The sequence below is a fragment of the Homo sapiens genome, chromosome 9 (genome assembly GCF_000001405.40).
Source record: "Homo sapiens chromosome 9, GRCh38.p14 Primary Assembly".
NCBI classification, from domain to species: domain Eukaryota; kingdom Metazoa; phylum Chordata; class Mammalia; order Primates; family Hominidae; genus Homo; species Homo sapiens.
The window spans coordinates 89339380-89353416 of record NC_000009.12 but is presented as its reverse complement, the minus strand read 5'-3'; the positions used below and the strand labels follow the sequence as shown (position 1 = coordinate 89353416).

General features: G+C 43.0%; 1 protein-coding gene across 38 annotated transcripts in view; it reads right to left on the bottom strand.

Annotated features, from left to right (window-relative positions):
- The window catches only part of SECISBP2 (SECIS binding protein 2), a 48618-nt gene that overhangs the window by 13701 nt on the left and 20880 nt on the right, over positions 1–14037 (bottom strand). For 31 of the 38 annotated variants that reach the window (XR_007061351.1, XR_007061350.1, XR_007061352.1 and 28 more), the window contains 6 exons: positions 13464–13553; positions 11938–12070; positions 6369–6535; positions 5203–5338; positions 3488–3641; positions 2565–2785 (listed from right to left, as the gene is read on the bottom strand). Coding sequence is in view for 25 of the 38 variants with exons in the window: in XM_047423856.1 (XP_047279812.1) it covers positions 2565–2785; positions 3488–3641; positions 5203–5338; positions 6369–6535; positions 11938–12070; positions 13464–13553 (901 nt within the window). In the remaining 13 variants the exon portion in view is untranslated. The remainder of the gene's footprint in view (positions 1–2564; positions 2786–3487; positions 3642–5202; positions 5339–6368; positions 6536–11937; positions 12071–13463; positions 13554–14037) is intronic. The other 7 variants (XR_007061353.1, XR_007061348.1, XM_017015122.3 and 4 more) reach the window with 1 other exon arrangement.

Here is a 14037-nt window from a genome sequence, read left to right as displayed (position 1 = left end):
GTGGTGAGAGGATGAGCTCACAGGGTGAAGTTCGCCTGTCCCTCCAGGCAGGCAGTGAGAAGTCTTCCTTGGGGATGTGACCAGCCCTAGGGGAGACAGAGACACCCAGGGGCACTTCCAACATGGAAGCAGCCCAACCACATCATCCTACAGCAGAAGTTCTCAGTGCACTCCTTGGAGAAGCAGCAACAGCACCTGGGAACTTGCTGGAAGTACAAATTCTTGGGCCCACTGGACCTACTTGAAGCAGAAACTCTGGAATCTGTGTTTTCCCCAGCCCTCTGGGTGATTCTGATGCTGGCTACAGTTTTGAGAATCACCACCCTCAACGCTGCTCACAGCCTTGAACAGCAGCCACACACCCGGATTTCCAGTCGGCTACTTAGTGGCTCTTAAGTAGGCGCAGACAACTAGGACACAGAGGACATCTGTGGAAAACCTCCACCATGAGAGGCCAAAACAAACAGAGCAAACTACCTGGAGGAAACAGAGGCACTGCAGGGAGAGGAACTAGGCATCATTAAAATTCTCCAAGAGGCAACCATGAGGCAGCAGCAACGTGATTAAAAAAAAAAAAGGAATCTTCAGAGGACAAAAACAGCTCCCAAAAAATAAAAATAATATCAGAAGTAAAAAATTATACAGAAATTTTACAAGATATGGTTGAGAAATTCTAACAGAAAATGAAACCAAAAGAAAGAGATAAAAAGAAGCAGGAAACAAATAATGTGAGGACACCAGTCCAGGAGGCCCGACCCTGACATACTTCCAAGAGCTGGCAGGGACTGGAGAAGAGGATTCAAAGCAAAAATTCATCGTGTCCCAGAGCCAAAGACACTGGATGCAAACTGTCCCACATCCTGTAACCCCAGGATCAAGGCACTTCCAGTGAACCCCCAGAGAGCACGAGGTGCAAAATGATCACAAAGGATCAAGAATCAGAGTCTCTGGATTTCAAGCAAGACCTTCAAAATATGCCTCCCATGAATCCTTTTCTCCTAAACCACTGGAGGATGCACTCCAACAAAACAAGAGTGCAGCCCAAGAAGAAGTCCATAAACAACACCTTATTGAGAGCAGGGTGGGAGCCAAGGGTATCCCTGGGTGGCAAATGCATGAGGTGCAGTGAGCTGGGAATGAAGGTTTCTTCAGCAGATGAAACTGCAGAATGCCTGGTGTAACCGTCTTAGAGGAGACTGAGGCAGCTGGCTGAGGGCATGAGGTTTCATTAATGCTAAGTATATAGACAATTAAGCAACCACCACAAAACAAGAACAATAACCCAAACTATACATTAGGGGAAGTAACAGCAAAGCCCTTTTGCTCTATTGGGAAGATGACAAATACTTAAAACTGAAAACATGTGAAGCAGTTGCTCACAAGCCTCTTACATGGAGATATGGAGGAAATATCCCACAGTGTGGCTAACAGCTGACAGGTGGAGTTGCTAGGAAAGGAAGGGAGCCCAAGCCTGCCCCTCCCTTAACAAACCCTATAGGACTACTTGACCCTTTAGCTGTGGACATGTACAACACTGACAAAAACAGCCAGGGAAGCATGTGGCCTGTCCTCTCCAATGACCTGGAAAGGCCTCTGGGCACACAATCAGATGAGTGGGTCACTGAGATCCCTTCTGTCATATTCTGGTCAGCGGTGATGCTGGACCCGTACCAAGTTAGGACAGGGACGAGCTGCTGGCTGGGGGCCTCGGACATGTCACAAAACTTCCAGGCTTTAGATATGAAATGGTAACTGGGAAACATCATCTTTGAGGGTTCAGCCCCAGGATGTGGATGCATTATCTCAAAGTGGGACTCCGTAAAGCTGAATTTGACACTGCAGGAGAAAGGAATGAGGCCAGGGAGGGGCTTGTGAGTGTTCCCTAGCCTAGATGGAGATGAAGGACAGGTGTCCATGAGCAATGCCACTCTGCTCTTATCAGTTCTCCTATTGCTCAATTCGAGGACACAACACAGGCAAGTCCTCCAGGAGCCAAGACAGCACAAGCACAGGGTAAACATGAGATGTCACAGGTGAGGGTTCACTGTTACCTGACCCAGCATATCACATCCAACAAAACAAAAACACACATTCCAGTTTAAGTAAAATGGCAAAGTATTTAGACAAAGCCACATCTGTAACAAGCAAACAGATGAGTCAACCACAGACTGAACAACAAAATGTCAAGTAGATGAAAGCCCTAGGTAGGTACTGCCTGGCTGCCAGGCACAGCATCTCTGTGGTGCAAGTGACCAGTGACAATCCCAGCCCCAGGGCAGTGGCCTGCACAACAGAGGCAGGTCTTTCCCTGATGCCAGAGGCCTGTGTGGGCTGGCTGGCCTCCCAGCGTGCAGGATCACAGGACCCACCTGCCCTACAGAGGGTAAGGCACTTGGTAATGGTCAATGCAGTTGGGAAACAGTTACTCAATAAAAACAAAAACCACAAAGAAAACGAGTTGTCAAGACCTGTGGCATGGGCCGCTGAGGTGTGTGGCAAACACGAGGGCACACTAGGCACTCATGCAGGGGCCCACATATCACAGGACCACACTGTGCCTTTACCTTTTGACTGTATCTTCTCACAGTTGGGAGAAATAATGACACATTTCAGTTTTTTGAGCTTCAGGTGTTTGAGAACCTCCCTCAACCCCAACACAAGTCGACGTTTAGTCTTGGCCTTGACTGGATCTTTCTGGTACATACGGTCTTGGAAACGGACCAGTTCTTTGAGTAGGTCGGTAACACAAGCATCCACTTCTTTACTAAGCATCTGGCTGCAGTAACTGAAAGAAACATCAGACATCAGGAATTGTGCCACTGGCTGTGACACTGCAGCACTGCTCCCATCCCACCCCAGGGAGAAGAGACGTAGACTGCATCAGACAAAAAGTCACGTTTCAACAAGTACTACTAACCAGAACTGTGGAATTCCTGATGATTTAATTTTATGAAAGGTAAATACTGGGGCATCTTCCCCCATTCCCAACTACAAGGGACAAATTTCTCTGGGCCCTGCCCAACCATAGTTTGCCACAGGTCCCCATCTCAGCCACTACCCCGTGCATCTCCCTGTCATAAAGACAAATACCGGGAGACTATCCTGGAAGAAAAGTGGGCAGGGGAGAAGGCAGAGTGAGCACACAAGGTTAAAGGAATCCTGCTGCCTAAGACATTACACAGAGATTAAACCATGAAAAGGGGCCCAAAGATGATGCACGGTCACTTCACTATCCACTCCCGACTGCAAACCTGGACTGAGGGCCCCTCTTCCATCATTAATACAAGAACCTCAGTAGAAGCAGAATCAGACACAACGATTAGGCTCTCCCTGAATGCGTGTAACCAGGTACCCAGCTTCTTTCAACCATGAGGTTTTTAAAGCACAGTGTGGCCCAGCAACAAGGATTTATGGGAGATATCAATGCCATACTGAACCGAAGCACTTCCATCTTCCCCTAGTCCCTGGCAGGCAGGGGCTCACTCACTCCCTGAATCTGCGGCTGTGGATCTTAGGGAAGGTGGTGTGATTGGGAGCAAGGTGGGAGGCCTCTGTGTCCCTCTGGAGCTCTGTGCCTGGTGGCTCTTCAGACTTGTCCTCAACCGAAGGAGTGGAGATCAGTTCGTCCATCCCCTCTGGCCCTTCATGGAGGAAAAAGGCATCATCAGATATCTGTGAGGCCCAGTGCACACACTGAGGGGCTGGCCCAATGCAGTCTCACCGATGCAACCAGACCCCTGCACACAACCACCACATTCACAGACAACATGCAGAGAGGTTTACAGAAGGCAGAAAAAACAGACGAGGATGCCTGGGGAAAACAGAAAAGCTGGTGGAGGCAGTCATGCCTGGAGGTGTGCCTCCCCTCAATTTACTTATACATTCATTTTTATTATGGTAAAATATACATCAATATTACCATTTTAACCACTTTTAAGTGTGCAGTTCAGTGGCCAAATTTATTTTTTGATTTTGAAGAATCTCTTATCAGGGAGCTTTAAAAAACAGGATTTTAGTTCTAAGTTTTTTCTCAAATGCTTGAGACCATTTCTTTTTGAAATAATCCTTTAGAAAGAGCTGAACTCCAACATCTAAACTATGAGAAACTCAAGAGGTGTGTTTAGTTTAAACACACCAGATCTGATGCAGTGATAGCTTACTGTCCCCAACTAGTTACTTCTACCGACTATCAAAATGCAATTGCAGTAACAGATCACCAAATGAAGGAATGAAAAAACATATACCACACCCACAAGAATGGCAAGGTTGAAAAACATAGTGCCCCGTGGGCTGGTAGAGATGGGGAGCACCTGCAACTCTCAGCCTCCCTGGGGCTGTAACTGGTAGAACAGTCAGAAACCCATTGGGCAGGAGCTACTAAAGCAATTCTGCTCCCAGGTAATGCCCCACAGGAACGAGTGCTTGTGTCCTTTAAGACACATACAACACTGTCCGCAGCAACCCTGTTTCTAATTACCCAAACTGGAAAATGCCTGAATGCCCATCCGCAACCCTGTACATTCGTCCAACCGAATTTTACACAGTAATGAAAATAAACGGCATCTCCATGTTGCCAGCAAGGCTGAAGGAAAGGGGACAAAGAGAGCAGCACGTAACACACAGTTGCACTAGAGCCACAGCCACAGCCCCTGGTGGGGTTGCCATGGGGCAGGGTCTCCTGGGGGAGGCCTCTGACAAGAGGGCACAAGCAATTGCTGGGCTGTGTTTTGCTTCTTGATCTGAATGCGGCGGTCACTGTGAAAAGTCTTCAAGCTGTACACTGATATTTGTGCACTTTTCTGAATGTATAACTGAATATGAAGTTTCCTTAAAAACACACAATTGTGTTCACGCCCCCACGTCTCCAATACTTGCTGGTAAGCAGCTGTGCAGCTAGCGGTGTTAATTCTCATGACCACTTCAAGTTAGAGGACCATCCAGCATCACACAGATCAAACCTGGTGGGAAGGGAGGATCCTCACCTCTGTCCCTCACAGACCCCAGAACCAGAGGGACTAGAAACACTCCCCCCATCTGTGGGGACCTCCCTTCCCTGTAAAGCTGGGAGCTCAATGCTGACCCACTTTCACCACAAAAGGAAGAGGAGTCAGCCAAGTCCTGGAGAGTTTGCTCAGCATAGCTCATCCTTTTCATAGTTGCTCTCGTTTAAATTATTCTTAAGGCACAAAGAGAAGTTGGTACCTGACAGCTCTGCCTGCTCGGGAAACTGGTCATCACCACCACTCTCTCCATCTTGTGTGTCATCACTGGTAAAAGCTGGACTCACAGCATTTTCTTGGAGACGCTGCTTTCTCTCTTGCCGTTCTTTCAAAATAATCTTAAAAATTAAATAAACAATTAAAATGCCTAAATACTTGTACTTAAAAGATAAGCTCTTCTGCAAATTAAACTGCCCAAGTTCAACTTTTTGGCAATGTGCCTCTTAGTGCCCTGAGAGCAGCCAAGTGCTCCCCAGACTCCAGGGAGCTCACCCAACCCTCCCCGCTGGTTTTGGAGGGGCACGTTCCTCCCAAGGTATGCAGAGCAGCCACAGGGGAGAGCCCTGAGCTCTAAAGACAATTCTGCAGCTCAGCACTTGCCTGAGCACCTACACCACAGGCTGCTGTAAGAATTCACCGGAGGGAGGCTGGGCGTGATGGCTCATGCCTGCAATCCCAGCACTTTGGGAGGTGCATCACCTGAGGTCAGGAGTTTGAGACTAGCCTGGCCAACATGGTGATGAGACCTCGTCTCTACTAAAAATACAAAAATTAGCTGGGCATGATGGCACACGCCTGTAATCCCAGCTACTCGGGAGGCTGAGGCAGGAGAATTGCTTGAACCCGGGAGGTGGAGGTTGAGGTTGCAGTGAGCCGAGATCGCTCTATTGCACTCCAGCCTGGGCGACAAGAGCAAAACTCCGTCTCAAAAAAAAAAAAAAAAAAAAAAAAGAATTCACCGGAGGAGCCTGTGACTGTCCTTCTGGAAGGTGTGCAAGAAGTGTGCATTATTCACTGACTCTCAACATCAGAAATATCAGCTAGGGTAGGATGAAGGGGGATCATAAGAAGAAGAAAAATGCAACTCCTCCCATTTCTGGTTTTCTGTCCATCCATTGCAAAGTTGAAAAAATAAAACATGTTCCTTTCCTCTCAGGTAGCTAAAGCATTCCCCACATCACATGTCCCTGACGTGTCACACTGGGAGGGTGAGGGATCATTTGTTGGAGTATCATTAACACGTTTTACTACAACATATTCAAGTAATACAAGTCGTAAAATCTAAAAATCTAAGAGCTGGGAGAATAACTATGGAAATGTGAGACTAAGTTTTCTAGTGCCTCACTTCGGCTGAAACACCCCACATACCTTCTTCAGTGAGGTTGGCTTCTTGGCCTTGGGGATCTCCCTCTGCTTCCCTTTCTTCATCAGTGGGGCGCTGGAGTCCAAGGGATTGTGCGGGGTCTTCATTTGACTCATGCGGCGGCCTCTCTCCCCTGATGCACATTCTTTGGAAAGGACTGGCACTGCTCCAACTGAAACGCAGTGGGACAAAGCCCTCACGGTCACCTCCCAGATGCCCCACCCAGCTCTTGGATCGCAGCTCGCCCAGGGGCTGCCTCAGGGTATCTGAAGGAGTTTGCCAAGTCACCCCCAGCTTGTCCCCACAACCCTTCTCATCTTTGAGAACAATCTCTTACACATTCTTTTCATTGGCAGTAATTCCAAATGAAACTTAGTATCTTTTGGATGAGATTCCCAAAAAGTATCAAGTAATTTAGGAACACCTACCTTCCTATCCATGTAATCAGATCTCCCATGTTTCTCAGTACAGTCTAATACAGCATGGATCTCATTTTCTGACTCAGGACAGTTCTAGGTGGTCTGCACTCACTGCTGCTACTGTGAACACGTCCCTCTCCACCACCGTTTCCAGTTGACACTGCCTTTGTGGAAGCTGGCCCTATTGGTTTCCGCATGTGTATCTTGTATCTAGCTACCTTATAAGGCCACTATAAGATTCTAGTAATATTTCTAGTTAATTCTCTTGAGTTTTCCAGACGTGTTTTCCAAAATCCCATCATGGGCAGTTGGTAATTCCTCTACATAGTCAGTAAATTATTGTGATTACTACTGAACATTTCAATTTTATTCTCCTTTTCTGTTCTATTTCCCATCTCAATAGTTATTTCAAGTAATCAGTTAATTCTCATATAGTTTTATCCTCACTTTTTGATCTGGAAAATTTCCAAACATACGCCAAAGAAAAAAGAATGGTAAACAAACCCCCTGTGTCCATCGTCCAGCTTCAACAATCATCAATATTTCTCCAAATGTATTTTACCTGCCCTCCTTTAATTTTGGAACATGTTTTTAAAATAATTGGTGCTTTGTCAATCAGGCAGTCCCACTAAATCTCGCCTGTCTGACTGTCTGATTCACTGCTTCAACGCAGAACGTAACCTGCACAGGTCAACCAAGACAACTGTACCTGCCTCCCAGGCTGCTCTGGCCTTAGTGAGCACAGCTGCTTCCATCTTTGGAGCCTTGTTTCCACATGGGGTTTGAAACATACATGTGACTATGTGACTGGCTCAATTGTTTTTCTCAGCTCTTCGTGGAAAACCCTGTATGGCTCATAGGTGCTCACTCACCCGGTCCCCAATGACACCACCAAGTTCAGCATCTCACCTGGGCTCCTGCAAAACCTGCCACAAGCCCTCTAGCTCTACACCTCCTGCACCCCACTGCCAGGCAACTCTTCACAAAGCACTGACACCGGGCCTGAGGAGGGTCCTTCCTACAACAGAGGAAGATCAACCATTCCCTCCCACAAAAACAACCACGAAGTTCAACAGAACTGCCAAACACAGTCATATCAGCCCTCTGGAAAGTGACCAAAGGGTTCCAACAAACCGAAGAGTGCTTACTCCTTAAGATGAGTAGCCTTCAGGTGGGAACAGTATAGGTGTGGACACTCCTGTCTGAGGCTTTTCCCAGAGTCTCTCCCCGCTCTGCTTTGGCTCATTCAACAGGTGCCAAGGCTATGAAAACCAGCAGCTTCCCTGTCACTGCCATAAGGGGCTTGCTGAATTCAAAGCGTGGTCATTCAAAGCGTGGTCATTTAAAGTAGTGATTTCAGCAAATGGGGAAGGCATGGCAGCATGGCCAGTCTGAGGCTGCCGTTTTGAACAGTCAAGCAACAGACAGGGCCAGGCCAGTGGGGACTTACACAGAGTCCAGGGGAAGACTCGCTATAGGGATGAGCTATGGGGCGGTCAACAAGAATTTTACATTCAGCAAAACTAACCTCCAAAAAGTGAATGCAAAATAAAGACATTCCAGACAAAGACCATGAGAATTTGTTGCTAGTATTGCTTGTGTCACTAATACCAAAGGAAGTCCTCCAGAAGAAATACTACCAGAAGTGATACAAGATGGCAACTGAATCCAGAGGAATAAAGAACACCTAAAATCATAAATATGAAACTGGTAAATACATATTTTTTCCTTGTTCCTTCTCTTCTTTAAAAGATATGGCTGTATAAAGTAGCAGTTCCAACACTGCAGTGTTTGGTTTATAATCTATTTAGATGTACCATATGACAATAGCATAAAGGGGGAGGAAGAAAATGGAGACCTACTGGAGTAAAGTTTCTTCAATATATAAACTAACATGTATATTGTAATCCCTACAGCAACTGCTAAGAAGGTAGTTTTTCAAACTAAAGTTAAAAAAAACAACAAAGAAATCAAAAGTGTACTCTAAAAACATTTAACACCAAAGGCAGTAAAGGAGGAAGCGAGGAACAAATGACGAAGTTGACAAACACAAGCAATGGGGAAAGGACTCCCTATTCAATAAATGGTGCTGGGATAACTGGCTAGCCATATGCAGAAAATTGAAACTGGACCCCTTCCTTACACCACATACAAAAATCAACTCAAGATGGATTAAAGACTTAAACGTAAAACCCAGAACTATAAAAACACTGAAAGACAACCCAGGCAATACCATTTTGGACACAGGAACTGACAAAGATTTCATGACAAAGACATCAAAAGCTGCAACAAAAGCAAAAATTGACAAATGGGATCTAATTAAACTAAAGAGCTTCTGCATTGCAAAACAAACCATCATCAGAGTGAACAGACAGCCTACAGAATGGGAGAAATTTCTGCAATCTATCCATCGGACAAAGGTCTAATAGCCAACATCTACAAGGATCTTAAACAAATTTGCAAGAAAAAAAACCCCATTAAAAAGTGGGCAAAGGACATGAACAGACACTTTTCAAGAGACATACACGTGGCCAACAAGCATACGAGAAAAACCTCAACATCACTTAATCATTAGAGAAATGCAAATCAAAACCACAATGAGATACCATCTCACATCAGTCAGAATGGCTACAACGAAGCTGGCGAGGTTGCGGAGAAAAAGAATCGCTTATACACTGTTGCTGGGAGTGTAAATTAGTTCAACCGCTGTGGAAAGCAGTGTGGTGATTCAGCAGACCTAAAAACAGAAATACCATTTGACCCAGCAATCCCATTACTGGGTATATACCCAAAGGAATATAAATCATTCTACTATAAAGACACATGCATGTGAATGTTCACCGCAGTACTATTCACAATAGCAGAGACATGAAATCAACCTAAATGCCCAGCAACAGTACACTGGATAAAGAAAATGTGGTACATATACACCATGGAATACTATGCAGTCATAAAAGAGAATGAGACCACGTCCTTTGTAGGAACGTGGATGGAGTTGGAGGCCATCCTTAGCAAACTAACGCAGGAACAGAAAACCAAATACCACATGTTCTCACTTATAATTGGGAGCTAAATGATGAGAACACATGGACACATGGAGGGAACAACAGACACTGGGGCCTACTTGAGGGTGGGAGGAAGGAGAATATCAGAAAAAATAACTATTGGTTACCAGGCTTAGTACCTGCGTGACAAAATAATCTGTACAACAAACCCCCATGACACAAGTTTACCTATATAACAAACCTGCATGTGTACCCCTGAATCTAAAATAAAAGTTTAAAAAAAAGAAGATCCACAGATTTAAAAAAAAAGTAGAGTTTTTTGAAATAATAAACTACTTCAAAAGGAAGAAACATATCTAAAAGCCTATGGTGGAAAATTTTCATGTTGCTTTTTATGACATATTGTGCGTTTTAACTGTCTTGGCTCTTAAGAGAAGATGTGTCAGAGGAAAGAGGCAGCCACATCAGCACTACTCAACACTGTTCCCAGTGGTGCCCCATGCACAGGCAGTAAACCATTTCCATGGAATGCAGCTTCCTCACCCAGACAGTAAAGATCTTCAGAAACTCAGGACACTTCTACAGATAAGGAGATTTTCAGCTACACAATGTCATCATATCAAGTGGAAAGCTCATCTTTTAATAAGATCAATTTTTAAAAATCATCCTATTTTAATAACTTAAAAATGTTTTAATTGTGGTAATATGACATAAAATGTACCATTTTAACTGTTTTTAAGTGCACAATTCAGCTGCATAAATTATATTCACAATGTTGTGTAACCATCACTACTATCCATTTTCAAGACTTTTTAATGCTCCAATGAATACTCTGTCCCCATTAATAATAACTCACTATTCCTTTTCCCCTCAGCCCCAGGTATCCTCTAATCTATGCTTTTATGAATTTGCCTATTCCAGATATTTCTTTTAGGTGGAATCACACAGTAGTTGTGTTTCTGTGTCTAGCTAATTTTATATGGTATAATGTTTTCAGGTTTCTTTCATGTTGTATCATGTATAAGAATTCATTCCTTTTTTAAGGTTGCATATTACATTGTGTAGGTATACCACATTTGTTTACACCATTATGTGGTAATGAACATTTGCGCTGTTTCTACCGTTTGGTTATTGTGAATAATGCCATAACAAACCCCAGTGTAAAAGTGTCTAAGTCTGTCTTCTTTTGGGTAAATGCTGAGGAGTGAAATCGCTGAGTCATGTAGTAACTGCATTGAGCATTGTTAAGTAGCCACCAGGTTGTCTTCCACAATGGCTGCACCATTTTACATTCCCACCGGCAGCGTACGGGGTTCCAATTTTTCCACATCTTCACTGACACCTGTTATTTTCTGTTTTTGGATTATAATCATCCCACTAGGTGGGAAATAGTATTTCACTGTACTTTTGATTAATATTTATTTCCCTGATGACTAATGATATTGAGTATCTTTTCACGCACTTATTGACCACTTGTGTACTTCTGGAGAAATGTCTTTTCCAGTCCTTTGCCCATTTTTAAATTGGATTGTTTGCTATTCAGCTGGAGTTCCTAAATATTTGAATATTAATCCCCTATCAGATACATGATTTGCAAATATTTTCTCCCATTCTGTAAGATGTCTTTCCGCTTTCTTGATAATGTCCTTCGGTATGCAAAAATTTTTAATTTTAATGAAGTCCAAAGTTTATTGTTCTTTTGTTGCCCATCTTTTTGGTGCCATATCTGAAAATCCAATGTCTAATAAAAGATCATGAAGATTTACCCGTTTTCTTTTAAGAGTTTTATAGTTTTAGCTCTTATATTTAGCTCATTGATTCATTTTGAGTTCATTTGGATCTATGGTGTGAGGTAGGAGGTATGACTATTCTTTAGCATGTGGAAATCTAGATGTTCTAATACCATTTTAAAGAGACTGTTCTTTGTTCTATTCATGGACTTTGCATACTTATGAAAAATCAATTGGTCACAGATCCATGAATTTATTTCTGGACTCTTAATTCTATTCCACAGGTCCTTATCTATGCTTATTCTAGCATCACACTGTTTTATCTATAAATAACTTTTGATAACAAGAGAAAATGGTAACATAATAATCTAGCTGAAAAAGACTTCCAATCACTTGCCTGAGATGGAAAGACTCTCTTACCTGAGACTACCACTGGTTTGGAGGACTGCTTTGCATGCTGAGAGTGCTGCTTCTTCTCCAGGGCTGTCAGCATGCCCCCCAAGTCCAACTGCACTGGAAGCTGGCTCTTCTTTACATTATTTTTAAAATTATCCTGAAAGTTCAAAATTCGTAAGTTTACTTATAAAACTATACAAACTGTGCTTTTCTTTTTACAAAAAACTGATGTAAAGATAAAATGAAAAAGATTGAGACTATAAAAAAGAATTTTTAAAAATTCAAGTAATGAAAGGAAAAAAAATCAATCCCACATTATCTGCCAGTATTACCATGGTTGTTTATGTCTTCCTTCTTTCAGAACATTGGGTTTATATTAAATCACCTACACTTTTGTCTATATCTCCATTGTGAGTAGTCAACAATACACATCTACAGGCAAGACACTAGCACTTGTATAAAGTCTTTGGCTACAAAGTCTGTGTGTGAGGCTACTTGGTTAGTACTATCGCCTCATTAGCCCATTCTCTCTCCAAATGCCTCCGTAAACCAACAAATGCCATGAAATTATAGTGATACAACCAAAAGTCTACATAAGCCCAAATCATACTCAGCAAATAATATTAAATGCAGGCTCAAAGTCTGATATGCTCAAAACAAGTGTTATTTTTGAAATTGTTGTGATTTGGGTTTTGAGACTATATAAAAAGTTGTACAAGGAAGCCCAGTGGTATGTCCTGAGGCATGGTGTCCCATTTGCTTTAGTGCCTCCGCTCCATTCTCCTGCCAAGTGTTCTCTTAGAGGACACCAAAAACCCTACTGGCTGAGGGCTCCCATCAGGGGAAAGTACCAAGTGCAACAAAGGACAGGCAAGGAGGCCTGCTACATGGAAGGAAGATGAGTAAATTATAACATTGAATTGAAAGTTAACTCACACAAAGGTTTAGAATTTTATTTTTCATGAATGCGAAAACAACAGCCCCCTTTAAAAGGCAAAACGACAATGAATATCCTAGCAAATAAATGTCTACAAGTACACAAGTTCCCCATCTAAATTATGACTCACAAGCTCCCTCCTGAATCTACGGGGTAGGTGGTGGAGTAGAGAAGGGGAATCACCTCCACTTTAGCTTCTATTTTGACTTCACAGAGTAAAACTGTGGTGCCTCTCTTATTTTTCTTCTGTCAGACATTACTGACTTGCAAAAAAATTCTTCCGTTTCCCAAATAAACTGAGTCAACTTTTTCCCCTTAAAGTTTCATAAGGCAGTATGATCCCCCTCCTTTCCAACTTAGCAACTGCAGTTACCAAATCTTATTATAAAATAATAATCTTATAAAATAAGTCTTATTATCAAATAATAAAATCTTATTATTTAAGAGCAATTCTGTTTCAACATGCTGGGTGCAGTTCTCTCATGAAGGAATGAATCAAAACAAAACCACCTGTCACCATACAGAAATGTCTGGAAAGCAGTTTTTCTCAAGCATTTAGTTGAGCCAGAAGAGTTAAGCCTAAAGCAATTTGTGGTTTCAATCTAAAAATTACCTGTGGCTGCTGCTTAGATTGAAATTTCGGTGTCTCTATTCTGTCTCTTCTTTCAGATGCAACTGCCAGGTTGGGAAATTCCTCGGCATCCTAAGTAAACCACACACCCCTTTAGCTCTTTTGTTAATGCAAACATGCCAAGTGCAACCTTTTCCTTGCTTATATTTTCATTCTTCAGTAAGGTCCCTTAAAAGTGATTTAAAAAAAAAAGCCGCGAAACTCTCACATAAGAGCTTCTGCTTTATTTAACTTAGAGCAAATTTAAAGGCCACAGTTCTAATACCCCTGTACCCAAAAAAAAGAGTGTCACCAACAATCTTGGTACACCGAGGGATCTAAAGAACTGACCTTGGACCACCTTGGCATGAGAGTATTCAAGTACCTGTTCTTCAAAGGATTATGTTTTTCATTAGAGAAACCATCCAGATTCAGTAGATTTACATGTTATCTCTGGTGAACCCAGGCTAATAAATGGAGCCAAAGGCAACAGGCCTGCTAAAAAACCATTTTTTAATCACTTAAAAATGCCTATGTCATTTTGTCAATATTTTAGGTTCCTTGGAAAAAGATGGGA